The 14,098-nt window shown below is 57.5% G+C and overlaps 1 annotated feature.

The window, feature by feature from the left end:
• Positions 10,973-11,173: a silencer, noted in NCBI's record as "peak6340 fragment used in MPRA reporter construct". NCBI's record gives its function as "represses an SCP1 promoter by STARR-seq MPRAs in K562 erythroleukemia cells {active_cell/tissue: K562}" and the evidence as "EXISTENCE:reporter gene assay evidence [ECO:0000049][PMID:32103011]".

Below are 14,098 nucleotides of genomic sequence, written 5' to 3' on the forward strand. Positions count from 1 at the left end.
ACCTGCTGTCCCAGCTGCCTGGGCTATTCTGCCCTAGGGTATCCTTGAGGCTCCAACGGCACATTTCAGGGTGCCCCAGAATCCCACAAGGGGCTGAGCATACAGCAAGTTAGTGCCTTTGCCTTCCTGGAGAAACTTAACACTAGGGAAGAAACAAAAGAGAGGGGTTAAAAAAAGAAGAAGAAAGGAGGGCTGGGGCAGATTCCTCAGAAGGTCCCGTGACCCCAGATCTTCCTGGCACCAGCTTCACCGTCAGCCCACTTCTTTGGGGCAGGGGACTGCATGGCCCTGGACCCCATGACTGCTCCCTGCCCCCTGTAAAATATCCCCTTTAGACAGAGAAGCTGGGTGGGGGCAGAGAGAAAGGAAAAATAATTACTTCTTAGCCTCTAACCTTTCCGGCAAGTGACTCGGTAATAAATAATCCCCACGTCCCTCCAGTGCGATCCATCAGCAGGAACTCCTAATTACTTCAGACTCACTTGAAACCGCTTCCAGTCCCACTTTCAAATAAATAAAAAATTAACGTGGATCCGGAGCAGACGCCCGCGTGCAGGACTCCCGACCCGCCTCCCAGGAGGTTTGCCTGAGACGTGTCGGGATGGACCCCCCCAGGGCGGCCTTGTGCTCCAGAGCCACCCCATCAGCGGTTCCACCCTGGACCCAGGACCCACCTGTCCCATCACAGGGCTTCTGTGCAACGACCCCCACCCTCAGCAGGCCGCTTCCTGGGCCGTCCTGTGGTCCCTGAGCACAGCGGTCTCGGGCCCAGGGTCCCCAGCCCAGCACTGGGAAGATGTGCTGGCCATGTCCATCGGCCCCCATGGCCTGGCTGCCTGTCTGGCCCAGCACAGCTCGGCCTTCCCCTTGGGGGCCTCACCGTGACCTCCGTAATTAAGCCTAGGGTTCGGACAAGGTGACCCCAATACCCTGCTGCTCTGGAATTGAGCCCCGTCCCACGGGGGAGCCCAGACTTGCCCTCTGCAGTGGCCTGGGGACCACACCGCCTGTCTCTGTGTCTTAACTCCACCCCATGGCACCTCTGATCACCCCATGGCTGGGGACTTCTTTGGGGGCCTCCTGAGAAGCCCTGTGCCCCCAGCCCTGGATCAGCCCCAGCTGCAGTGGGGGCAGGCAGGGGCCTTCCCTGATTGTAACCAGACAGATGGGGAGGCAGGGCCCCGACCCCATTTCCCCTCCGGCTCCGTCCAAACCTGGGTATGCTACACATAGCCACTGAACCCCACCTGGCGTGTCCACAGCTCCAGCCTCTGTCCCTCAGCTCCATGAGGCCCGGCCTGCACTGACGGGCAGGTGGAAGCCACTCCTGGGCCCGGCCTGCTGGACACGAGGGAGGCGGCTGGGGTGGGAGCTGCCCTCTGACCTCCCACAGCCACAGGTCAGCCCAGCGCGGGCCAGGGAAGGTGTCCTGGAAACAGAAGACCCAGGGCACTGGGAAGGGCATGGAAAGGTTTCTGGGGGGATCCAGGCAGGGGCAAGCAGGGAGAGGGCTCCTGGGGGGATCCAGGCGGGGGTGGGCAGGGGTGTGACCCCAGCGCTCACCTCCTGGGTAGGGTTGTGAGGGTGAGGGGCTGTCGGCGGTGCCAAGGATCTGGGCAGGCCCCACTGAGGCCTGGGCGGGTGTGGAGGGCAGTGGAGGTGGGGGGTGGGGCCACAGGCTGGACCCTCCACAGGAGAATTAATTAAACGCATCTCACTCTGGCACCACCAAGCCATTTCTGCTGACCTCACCAGGCTGATTAATATTTCATTAGCCTTTAGGAGGAGGGAGAGCACTTATTAACCTGCTACGTCAATCTGTCAGTGCTGGTCCTGGCGTCCAGTGTCCCAGGGAAGGACAGAATAAAGATCCGGTGCACCCAGCCTCCAGGGCCTCCTGGATGGAGTGGTCCCCCCATGCTCTGCTCCCCCGAGACTGCCCATGCTCAGTCCCCCGGCCTCAGGTCCTCCCGGGGGCAGAACTGCTGTGCTCCCCATCCCCAGCTATGGCCAAGGCCTTTGCAGCCTGAGCTGGGGTGGGCTGGAGATGGAGGCCTGGAGGATGCCTTCCCTGGGCTGGGGGAGTCCTCTGAGGGCCGTGCTGAGCCTTGCTGCTGCTCTGGGCTCCATACCTGGTGCTGATGTGTGGGGAGGGGCATGGGGAGCCCCGGGATGTAGGGGGCGGCTCTGTGCCGAGGCCCTGGGAGTGGTGTGAATCGGGTGGGGCTGGGTGCCCCAGGAGGTGCTGCCAGCCTACCCAGCGCCTCGAGGTGAAGGCTGAGTGTGTGACCTACACCACCACACCCGGCCGCCCTGCTGGAGCCCAGGCTCCCTGGGGGTAAGCTGCCTGCCAGCACCAGCTCAACTTTGCCTTCTGGGGACCTGCCCATGTTCTACAGGAAGCTGCAAATGCAGATTTTCTGTGAACTTACCTGATTTTTCAATCCTACAACAAATTCCATGCTCTGAAAAGCAGGGTGAGCCCAGCAGCTGTGTGTGGCATGGGGGTCTGTGTCAGCATCCACCACAGCCCCAGCACGTAGTAGGCCCTCAATAAACTCCCCCAGGATGGGAGTTTATTGTCACCCCACTGGCGTGGGTGGGTGACAGTGGAGTTGGCTTTGGCTGTGATGTGGTTTGCCTGTGTCCCCACCCAAATCCCCCCCGTGCCCCCACCCAAATCTCATCTGTGTGTCCACCCAAATCTCATCTGTGTCCCCATCCAAATCTGATCTTGAATTGTAGCCCCCATAATCCCCACTTGTCATGGGAGGGAGCAGGTGGAGATAATTGAATCATGGGGCCAGTTCCCCCATCCTGATACCATTGTGATAGTGAATCAATTCTCATGATATCTGATAGTTTTGTAAAGGGCTTCCCCCTTCGCTGGACACTCATTCTTCTCTCTCCTGCCACCTTGTGAAGAGGGACATGTTTGCTTCCCCTTCCACCGTGACTGTAAGTTTCCTGAGACCTCCCTAGCCATGCTGAACTGTGAGTCAATTAAACCTCTTTTCTTTGGCCAGGCACAGTGGCTCACGCCTGTAATCCCAGCACTTTGGGAGCTGAGGCAGGCGGATCATTTCAGTCAGGAGTTTGAGACCAGCCTGGCCAACATGGTGAAACCCTGTCTCTACTAAAAATACAAAACAAAAAAAAAATAGCCTGGTGTGGTGGCACGCGCCTACTCGGGAGGCTGAGGCAGGAGAATTGCTTGAACCCGGGAGATGGGGGTTGCAGTGAGCTGAGATTGTGCCACTGCACTCCAGCCTGGGTGACAGAGCAAGACTCTGTCTCAGAAAAAACAAAAACAAAAACCAAACAAACAAACTCTTTCGTTTATAAATTACCTAGTCTTAGGTATTTCTTCATAGCAGCATGAGAAGGGACTAATACAGGCTGACTCAGGAGGGGAGTCCCCAGCCGCCGGCTGCCCTGAGGCTGGGCCCCTGCCTGGTCCCCGCCATGCCCACCCTCACCGAGTGCCAAGTCTGCAGCCCTCTGCCAGCTCCCGACTGCCCCTCCCCTGAAAAGGCACGTGGACGTGGGGGAGCTCTTTGGTCTGATCATCAGGGTGCTCCCAGCAGGCAGGCAGGGCTTGCAGGGTGGAGGAGGACCCCTGAGAGCCCAGCAGGAGGTCCCCCGTGCAGACATGCCCTTGTTGAGGGCACGGTGGAGACGCATGTCCATCCCTGGAGGGACAGTGTATTAGGCCATTCTCACACTTCTATAAATAAATACCTGACACTGCATAATTATAAAGAAAAGAGGTGTAGGCCGGGTGCGGTGGCTCACGCCTCTAATCCCAGCACATTGGGAAGCCGAGGCAGGTGGATCACATGAGGTCAGGAGTTCGAGACCAGCCTAGCCCAACATGGCAATACCCTGTCTCTACTAAAAATACAAAAAATTAGCCGGGCGTGGTGAAAGGCAGCTGTAATCCCTGCTACTCGAGGCTGAGGCAGGAACATCGCTTGAACCTGGGAGGTGGAGGTTGCAGTGAGCTGAGATCGTGCCACTGCACCCCAGCCTAGGCGACAAGAGTGAAACTCCGTCTCAAACAAAAAATAAAATAAAATGTAAAGAAAAGAGGTTCAGTTGGCTCATGGTTCTGCAAGCTGTACAGGAAGCACCGCAGCTTCTGCTTCTGGGAGGGCCTCAGGAAGCTTCCAATCATGACGGAAGGCAAAGGGGGAGCAGGCGTCTCATATGGCGGGAGCAGGAGAAAGGAGAGGGTGAACTGTCGCAAGGCCAGGACAGAGATGGATGGTTCCTGAGAAACCCACCCCCACAATCCAGTCACCTCCCACCATGCCCCGCCACCAACATTGGGGATTACAATTTTGCATGAGATTTGGGCGGAGACACAGATCCAAACCATATCAGGCAGCTGCCAGGGGACACCTAGCGTGCGCTGGGGCTGCCTGCTGCTCCCGGCTCTGCCCGCCGGCCCCCAAGACTCCCCAGGAGCTCCGAGCCAGTCACCCCGGGCTAGCTTTCGAGGACCTCTCTCCCCCATGTAGGCAGGCAGCAATGAAATTTTTAAATAAGGCCAAAAAATGAAAACTCCCCCGAGTTTATTAAGTAAAATGCAGGTGGGTAATTACAAACTGGCTTAATTAAAATCCACCCTCTTAGAAAGCCCTGAGTGGGTGGACCCAGCAGGGAAGGGAGACAGGACGGGGAGGGGCTGGCTCACTCCGAGCCTCAGTTTCCCCAGCTGTAAACTGGGGAAGATAATGAGAGTTCCTGAAGGGCTGTCGGGCCTGAGTCACAGCTGTCATCAGCAGGACTGAGCTGAACCCTGAGAAGGCAGGCCTGACCCACAAGAGGGGGCTCAGATGGCTCTGGGACACCACACTCATCCTGGGGGAGGCTCACCTGTAGGAGCCCAGCACTGAGAGTGCAGTGAGGGCCACGGTGTGGTGTGGGAGGTCACGGACCCTCACGGCCCAGCCCAGGCTGTGTCTTGCTTCTGGATAGGGGCACGGTGGATGGGCAGGCTGCGCCGGGCTGATCCGCTGTGAACAGCGGTTTTGGAGATGGTACGTCTTGCAGAGGCATGGCAGGAACCAGCGCCTGGAGGTGCGAATGGCCCAGTCGGCTCAGGGGGACACAGCCTGGCGGGCCAGGGCCGGGAAGGCAGGTGGGCTGCTCCTGATGCCAGGCCGGAAGTCCACCTCAGCGGGGGACGGGGAAGCCCCTTGGAGTTCATTCTTAGTGAGGAGGGGTTTTCCGGTTGCCCCACGGGCCTGTGGTCTGTCTCCGCCTCTCTTCATGACTGGGGCATCCTGGAGCAGGCAGAGGGAAGGGCAGGAAGGCTGGGGGCACGTGGCTGGCATAGCTCGGGTGGTAGTCGCAGGAGCCCATGGGCCCCCCTGGGTGGAGGAGGGAGCCCTGCCCTTGTGGCTTCGGCCCTGGTGGGACCTGGATGGGAGGGTTGGTCCAGAGCCCAAGAACACGGCCAGGGAGTGGGGTGGGGTGGTGCTGTGTGGCTTTTGGTGTTAAGGAAGGGGAGGAAAGGTTGGGCTGGACCAAGACAGAGATGGAAACAGAGACAGAGACAGAGACAGGGAGAGACGCAGAGATTCCCCCAGGGTGAGAGATCAAAGGTGTCCCACGCAGAGACCCAACCAGGATGCCTCCAGCTCTGTGACCCACACCTGCACCTCACAGCCCAGAGGGTGTCACTGGGGTCCCCAGCCCAGGAAGGCAGGACTCCTCACGCCCCCAACCTTCCATCCTGGAGTCCCCTGACTCCAGCGCTGAGACCCACGGCGTCCCCACCGCCCACTGCCGAGGAGAACGCCCTCCCTGTGGACCTGCGGCCGGCGGGCAGCCCCACTGGGGTTGGAGGAAGCTGCGAGGTTGTCACTGGGCCTAATCCTGACTTGGTTGCTGTCTGGATGTGTGGCCCTGAGTGTGTCAGCCGCCCTGAGCCTCAGTTTCCCCCACGCTATGACGATAAGGACACCCGGCCATGCCTGGCACATGAGGGAAGCCTTCACCCCAAGCTCTGGCCCTGGGCTCTGAGGTCCTCCTGTCCCCTGCACCCCAGTCGGTCCCCTTAGAGCAGGGGCATCCTGAGATCCCAGGGCCAGGCCCCCACCCACCTCCAGCCCGTTCCGGCCTCTGCCCACTTGGCTCATAAACCCCTGAGCTTTGATCTTCGATCATTCTGTCCCAGCCGGAAGAGACAGGGGCTACTCCCAGGCCCAGCCACTGGCCCGGGGCCGGGCAGGCCCTCTCGGTCCCCAGCTTCCCCACCCTGCTGCCTCCATTAACCTCTGCACTCAGGGCCGGAAGGGGCGGCTTCCGTTCCAGCCATTCCCACGGCAGGGATGCCACCCTCAGCCCATGTGCGGGGCCCTGTGGGAGAACCCGGGGGCCAGCCTGGGAGAAAGTCCCCTGTGGGGAGGGCAGGAGACAGCCCTGAGTCCCGGGCACCACCTGACCGTCCCACCCCCAGTGGCCATCCTGAACAGGAGTCCAGGGGCCTTGGGTCTCCAAAGACCCAGGCCGGCAGTTCTGCCTCAGAGGGGCCCAGAGCCCCAGCCCCTCCTTTTCACCGGAGTCAGGGGGGCTGCCATCCCCAGGAGGGACAATTCTCTGTTCCATGGGATCCCCTCTGTGGGTGTCGTGGGAGAGACTGAGGCAGAGCCACTTTTCCACCCAAGGCTGCCCTACTTGTGCCCCTACTGCACCTTCCAGGCTCTGAACGCATGCCCCAGCGTAGCTCCTATCCCATGCTGGCCGGGGGCAGCATCTCTTCTACAGCTGTGATGCCTCCTTGGACGGGGGACTCACCACCCGGAATTGCGAGAGAGCTCCTCCGACCTCAGCCTGCCTCTCAGCCCCACCCTCTTCTCCCTGGTTCATGTCTCCATCCCCCTCCTGCCGGCTCCTGGGACCCCACGGTGAGGCCCTGGGCCGTGCCTTCTGCACCTTCCCTTCCTCCAAGGTTTTGTTTTGTTGTTTTTTTTTTTTTTGATACGGAGTCTCACTCTGTCTCCCAGGCTGGAATACAGTGGCACAGTCTCGGCTGACCGCACCCTCCACCTTCCAGGTTCAAGCAATTCTCCTGCCTCAGCCTCCTGAGTAGTTGGAATTACAGGCACCTGCCACCACGCCTGGCTGTTTTTTGTGTTTTTAGTAGAGACAGGGTTTCGCCATGTTGGCCAGGCTGGTCTCGAACTCCCGACCTCAGGCCATCCACCTGCCCTGGTCTCCCAAAGTGCTGGGATTACAGGCGTGAGCCACCACACCCGGCCCTTGGGAGGTTCTTCCACTGATCACAAGCACTGGGTCACACCCTGTCAGAGGCATGGGGCTCCCTTACACTCGGGACAGCAGGGAAGAGGGTGAGGCTGGCCCCGCCTGGCCCTGGGCACACACTGCCCACCGGGACCCCAGACCAACTCTCACCCGGGCAGGAGGTTCCAGCCTGTGCCCTGCACCCTGCTGTGTAACCTGGGCACCCATGAAGGCAGCCTCTCCCTAGTTATCCAGGCACTCAGCCCCTGTGTATGACGGGGTCCATGATTCGTGGGCACCAGGCACAGTGAGGACTGGATAATCGGGGCCCACCCTCAGGCCTGGAGGCTGCGAGCCCCTGTGCAGGGTCATCGCCGGCGCGGGAAGAGCCCAAGGGAACAGGTGCAATGGGAACCCAACGGCTGGTATCTCGGGGAAATCTGAAGTGAGCCCAGGAAGGTGGCCGAGGCTCAGAGCCGGGGCAGGAACCCGTGCAGGGGTAGAGAAGGAGGCAGGGACAGCTGGACCAGGACTGGAGGCAGGACAGAAGTCTGTGCATGGGAATTGGGGCGGGGGACACAGGAAGGTGGGGTGGGGGCTTCCAGCAGGGGAGATTTCTCAGCTTCCCCAGGAGGGAAGGAGAAGAGGGAGCCGGGCCTCCCGATTCTTCCCCCAACCTCCTGCCTCCGCGTGCAGGCAGGGCTGCCCCAGCTGGAGTCTCCAGCACAAGGTGAACCTGCTGCTGAGCCCCTGCCCTCCCTGCAGACCTTGCGGGGAGCTGGGCTCCCGGCTGGCTGTGCCCTTGCTGTGTGACGGTGGGCAAGGGCCTGCCCTCTCTGTGCTCCTGCCCCGTCTGGTTCTGTGAGCTCCATGGGAACAGGGCTACCACCCACCAACCCACTGCAATGCAGATAGAGGCTGGGACTCGGGGAGGCTCCGCCATGGCCCTAAGCGGGGGTCCTGCTGGCCTGCAGACTCTGCCTCCCAGAGCCCCTCACCCCGCCCCCACCCACCATCAGCTCCGTCTGGAATCGACACACTTCCTTCTGAGAAGTGATGCATGGCTTCCCCGTCAGATTTACAAATAACTTCAAATTTTACCGTTTTCTTTCCCTAATGAATTCTCTGAAGCGTGTTCCAGGCTCCCCGGTAATGAGCAGGATGCAGAGGCCTCCGTGCAGCTCTGTCTCCCGGCCTGCCTCGGCGAGGCCCTGCTGAATTAGCCCAGCCCCTCCCGGCGCGCAGCCCGGGTGCACCCTCGTTTAGTGCCCTTGGTGGGAATCCATTGTATTGACAATCTCCACTGGTGTAATTCCTGCATTAGGATTTTGTGCTAAACTGTGTTTTAAAAGCGCTCTGACCCCGATTACCTCTTTAATTGCACTTAAAAATCCAGATTAATTCAGAGGCGAAGTCAGCCACGCTGGGAAGGGGGCCTTGCTGGGCCCACACCACGGATGGTTCCCCGGTTTCTGGAGATGGCCGGTTCCCCAGGGTGGTCTCTCTGCACCGCCTCGAACTCTCAGGAAGCCTCGCTTGGAGCTGCCGGGAAAACCTCTAGCTCTGGGAGACCTGGAAGAGAATAAGAGCGTCTCAGGAGCGCTGAGCTGGTGCTGGCTTCGCGAGCCACGCCACGAAGCCAGGTAAACACAATTGCTGCTGTTCTCATTTTATAGGTGGGAAAGTTGAGGCCCAAGACTATCTCCAGCCCCGAGATCAGCAAGTGGGTGGGTGGAGCTGGGGCAGCTGTGGCTGAGCCTGCTGGGCCCCCAGAAGAGGCTGGGTAGGGCTTTCCGTGGCCTCTGGTCCTTCCTGCCATTCTTGGACCCCAAAGGGGCTCCAGGGTCCTCCAGTCCCACTCTCCCATGTTACAGGTGGGGAGACTGAGACCCACCAGCCACGGCTGTCACTGGGCCCATGGAGAGGTGGTACGCCGGCCGAGGCCAGCTGGGGAGGCCTGTCTCCGTGATAAACACCTGCCCCTCATCCTGCATGCTGGCTGTCCACGGAATGAGTGGGGACCTGGGGGCCGACCAGGCTGGTCCCAGCCCTGGCTCCTCTCCTGACTGCCTTGGACGAGCCCCCTCCCCTCTTTGAGCCTCAGTTTCTCCATCTGAACAATGGAATCCTGATCCTGAGCTTGCAGGTCTGTTGGGAGACGCGGATACAGCACCTGGTGGTCTGTGCGTGGCATCAGGGGACTCGGGGGCCACTGCCCTGGCTGTGATTCCTGCCCCATTCTGCCCAGCCCCGGGCGGGGGTCAGTGAGGTGCTCCAAGCCCTTGGGGTTATCACGAGGCATCCGGCCCTACAGCACAACAGATGTTTTTTTTCCTTTCACCTTCACCTCGTTTGGAGACAATAATACTTCTACGAACATGTGTGCACAGGCTTTTATGTGGATGTGTGTCTTTATTTTTTTCTTTTTATAATAAGAAGTATTATTTTTAATCAAAACAGAGCTGGAGTAATGTCTTCGTTTTTCCTGGGTAGATACGTGGGAGTGAGATCGTTGGGTCTTATGGTAATTCCACATTGAACATTTTTAAAATCTCCCAAACCAGCTGGGGGTGGTGGCTCACGACTGTCATCCCAGTACTTTGGGAGGCTGAGGTGGGAAGATCGCTTGAGCCCAGGAGTTCAAGACCAGCCTGGGCAACATAGCAAGACTGTGTCTCTACTGAAAATTTAAAAAATCATCCCAGCACTTTGGGAGGCTGAGGCAGTTGGATCACCTAAGGTCAGGAGTTCGAGACCAGCCTGGCCAACATGGTAAAACCCTGTCTCTACTAAAAACACAAAAATTAGCTGGGCATGGTGGTGCACACCTGTAATCCCAGCTACTCGGGAGGCTGAGACAGGAGAATTGCTTGAACCTGGGAGGCAGAGGTTGCAGTGAGCCGAGATCGTGCTACTGCACTCCAGCCTGGGTGACAGACTGAGACTCTGTCTCAAAAAAATAAAAGAATAAAAAAATAAAATTAGCCGGGCATGGTGGTGCACATCTGTGGTCTCAGGTCCTCAAGAGGCTAACATGGGAGGATCGCTTGAGTCCAGGAGTTCAAGGCTGCAGTGATCTGTGATTGTACCACTGCATTCCAGCCTGGGCAACAGCAAGACCCAATCTCAAAATAAACAAAAAGAAAGAAGAAAAGAAAAAGAAAAAACTCCCAAACTGTTTGTCAAAGTGGATGCAACCTTTTTCCCTGCCTACCAGCAGTGTGCTGGAGTTCTGACTTTCCAATTTCTCCTCCTCACCAATACTTGTCAATATCTGTCTGCTTTATTTTAACCGTCCTAGTGGGTATGAGGGGCCATCTCATTTTAATTTGTGTTTTCGTGATGGCTGATGGTGAGTATCTTCCTGTGCTTATTGGCCATTTTTATATCATCTTTGGAGAAGTGTCTCCTCAAATCCTTTGCTTATTTCAAAAATCGGGCTATGTGTTTCTTTGTTATTGAGTTACAATAGTTCTTTATATATTTTAGACATAAGTGTCTTATCAGAAATACGTTTTGCAAAAATGTTCTCCCGTTTTGCAGGTGGTTTTTTTCACTTTCTTGACGATGTCCTTTGAAGCACAAAGCCTTCTAATTTTGATGAAGTCCAGTGTATCTCTGTTTTTCTTTTTTCTCTCGTGACTTTCATATCATATCTAGGAAGGCTTGGTCTAACCCAAGATCACAAAGATTTACTCCTGTGTTTTGTTTTCAGAGCTTTATAGCTTCAGCTCTTACGTTTAGGTCTGTGATCTTTTTCTTTTCTTTTTTTTTTTTTTTTTACACAGGGTCTCACTGTATCACCCAGGCTGGAGTGCAGTGGCGTGATAATAGCTCATCCATACCCGCCCACTTGCTGACCTCAGGGCTGGGGATACTCAGTCTCTGGGCCTCAAGTCAAGCCCATGAAGTCAAGGCTTCCCGGGCGCAGGTGATCCTCCCACTTCAGCTTCCTGAGTGGCTGGAACTACAGGCGTGTGCCACCACGTTCAGCTAATTTTTAAGTTTTTTATAAAGATAGAGTCTTGCCATATCATGCAGACTGGAGTGCAGTGGCATGATCATAGCTCACTGCAGCCTCAAACTCCTGGGCTCCAGCGATCCTCCCACCTCAGCCTCCCAAAGTGCTGGGATTACAGGTGTGAGCCTCTGCGTCTGGCCCCTGTGACCTATTTTGAGTTAATTTTTGCATGTGGTGTGAGGCCGAGTCCACCTTCACACTCTTGCCTGTGGACGTCCAGTTGTCCCAGCACCGTCTGTGGAAAACGCCCATTGAATGCCCTTGTTGGAAAAAATCAGTGAACGAGTGTGTTTATTTCTGGTCTCTGAATTTTCTTTTATTCCCTTAATCTGCATGCGTGTCTTTACCCCAGGACCACACTGTGTTCATTACTGCAGCTTTGTAGTAAGTTTTGAAATCTTAGTAGGGGGTGGGGGCGAGGGGCAGCTGAGGGAAAGGCCACAGCCGCTGGAGTCCCCTGGCCCTCAGTTGGGGCCACCCAAGCTGCCCGGCCACTGGAGGCTGGGAGGGGCCCATTCCTGGTGGTCTCGGGACAGGCCTGGAGGCCCTCGGCTGTGGTGAGCCAAGATCTGCAGGGGGACTCGGGGCTGACCGAGCTGGCCCAGAGCAGATGGCGGCTCAGCGCCCAGGCTCAGGGCGTCCATCCTGCGTCCCATGAGCTATGGCTGCCGACCCCGATGGGTGCCGCGCTTTCCAGTTTGCTCCCTCCCGCGTCTCTGCTGACCATCCCCACCTGTAGGTGAGCACACAGAGGCTTGGAAGGTACTGAGGGTTTGTCTCTGCCCTGCAAGTCACACAGGGGAGTCCCCAGTCCCCTGGGCAGCATACGGGCCTCCCACGGGATCCCAACCCACAGCTCCTGGAGAGTCCTTTAGGACAAGACCCTAATGCTGCCCCTGAGGCCTTTGGGGCCTCAAACTCCAAAGAGAGAAGAGGCCATTCCCTGAGCAGGGGAGCCGCTGCGGCCGGGCCTCCTGCCCTAACACGCACGCCCGACGTGCTGAGCCAGTGCAGCGGCCCCACAGGTGCAGGCCCCCGCCCCCAGCTCCACACCATGCCCCCAGTACAGGGCCAGGACCTCCCCAGGCTAAGCTCCCGCTGCGTCCCAGAGGGATGTAAACCCCAGAGGGCCCCAAAGGAGCCCACGTTTGCCCCAACCTGTACATTCTATGCTCAGGTTTATAACCAGAGCTTCCAAGAGGAATCTGGGCAGCCACCGCCCACCCTACCCCACCCCTCCCTACATGGATAGCTACAGGCAGGGCCCAGGCCCCCATCACTCTCGGCCACCGGCACACAGGTCCAGGCCCTCGCCTTCTCCCAGGGCCCCCAATGCCTCTGCCAGGAAGCCTCCCCCACAGGCTGAGTTATTTACTTTCCTTAATAACCTTTTATGAGGGGCCTTGCCGCGGCCTTCAGGAGGACAGGGAACCGGCTTCGAGGTCATCCTTTGGCCGGGATTTTATTAACTTCAAGTCAGGCTCGAGGCAGGTGAAGGAGCCTCTCCTCCACCCCAAAGGGTTGTGAGGCGCTCCAGGTGAGGTGTGACTGCCCTGTTCAATTAAATCCTCCGTCTGCACCTCGGCCTGGGTGGCGGCGGCGGGCAGGAGACCCCGCAGCAGCTTCCGCGCGGCATGTCCCCTGCCCACCGCCTTCCCCACCCACTGGGCTCTGAACAGCAGACCTGGGGTTTCCAAAAAAATCAACTGTCAGCCGCGCGCGGTGGCTCACGCCTGTCATCCCAGCACTTTGGGAGGCCGAGGTGGACAGATCACCTGAGGTCAGGAGTTCAAGACCAGCCTGGCCAACATGGTGAAATCCCGTCTCTACAAAAAAAAAAAGAAAAAAAAAAAGTAGAAAAATAAGCCGGGCATGGTAGTGTGCGCCTGTAATCCCAGCTACTCGGGAAGCTGAGGCAGAAGACGCGCTTGAATCCAGGAGGTGGAGGTGGCAGTGAGCTGAGATTGTGCCACTGCACTCCAGCCTGGGCAACAGAGCAAGACCCCGTCTCAAAACAAAATAATAATAAAAATAAATTGAAATCGAGAGGAACGTTAGACAAACCCGAATTGATGGACATTCTACAAATATCCTGCCTGGACTTTTTGAAAATGTTAATTGCAGAAAAGATGAAGAAAGGCTGAGGGTCCCAGGCTGAAGGAGATGGGAGTGGTGTGCAGAGACAGCACCCTGTGGCCGTGGGCTGGATTCGGGACTCGGGATATGGTGGGATAAAGGGCATGATTTAAATGTGGGCCATGGAGCGGCCACCATCAACAAGACCTTGTCTTATTCTGCTCTAGTTGGTCACAAATGCAGAACCTCGGGCCCTGTCCCTGGCCAACTACACATTTTTAATTTTGCTTTTTTTTTTTTTTTTTTTTTTGAGACAGAGTCTCACTCTGTCACCCAAGCTGGAGTGCAGTGGTGTAATCTCACCTCATTGCAACCCCTGCCTCCTGGGTTCAAGCGATTCACCTGCCTCAGCCTCCTGAGTAGCTGAGATTACAGGTGCCCGCCACCACACCCAGTTAATTTTTGTATTTTTAGTAAAGACGGGGTTTCACCATGTTGGCCAGGCCGGTTTTGAACTTCTCACTCACCTCCAATGATCTGCCCGCCTCAGCCTCCCAAAGTGCTGGGATTACAGGCGTGAGCCACCTGTGTCCAAACCCTGGCTCGTTTCCTTGCAGGGCAATCTGTTTCCTCCTGTGTCTAAGCTTTGTCACCTGCGACATGGAGGTGCCTGAGGCACAGGCCTGTCGGGGATCCTGTATGGCCATGGTGTTGGTGACAGTGCAGGCAGGGGCAGGTTCCCGGCGA

Source organism: Homo sapiens, chromosome 7, assembly GCF_000001405.40.
Source record: "Homo sapiens chromosome 7, GRCh38.p14 Primary Assembly".
Classification (NCBI taxonomy): domain Eukaryota; kingdom Metazoa; phylum Chordata; class Mammalia; order Primates; family Hominidae; genus Homo; species Homo sapiens.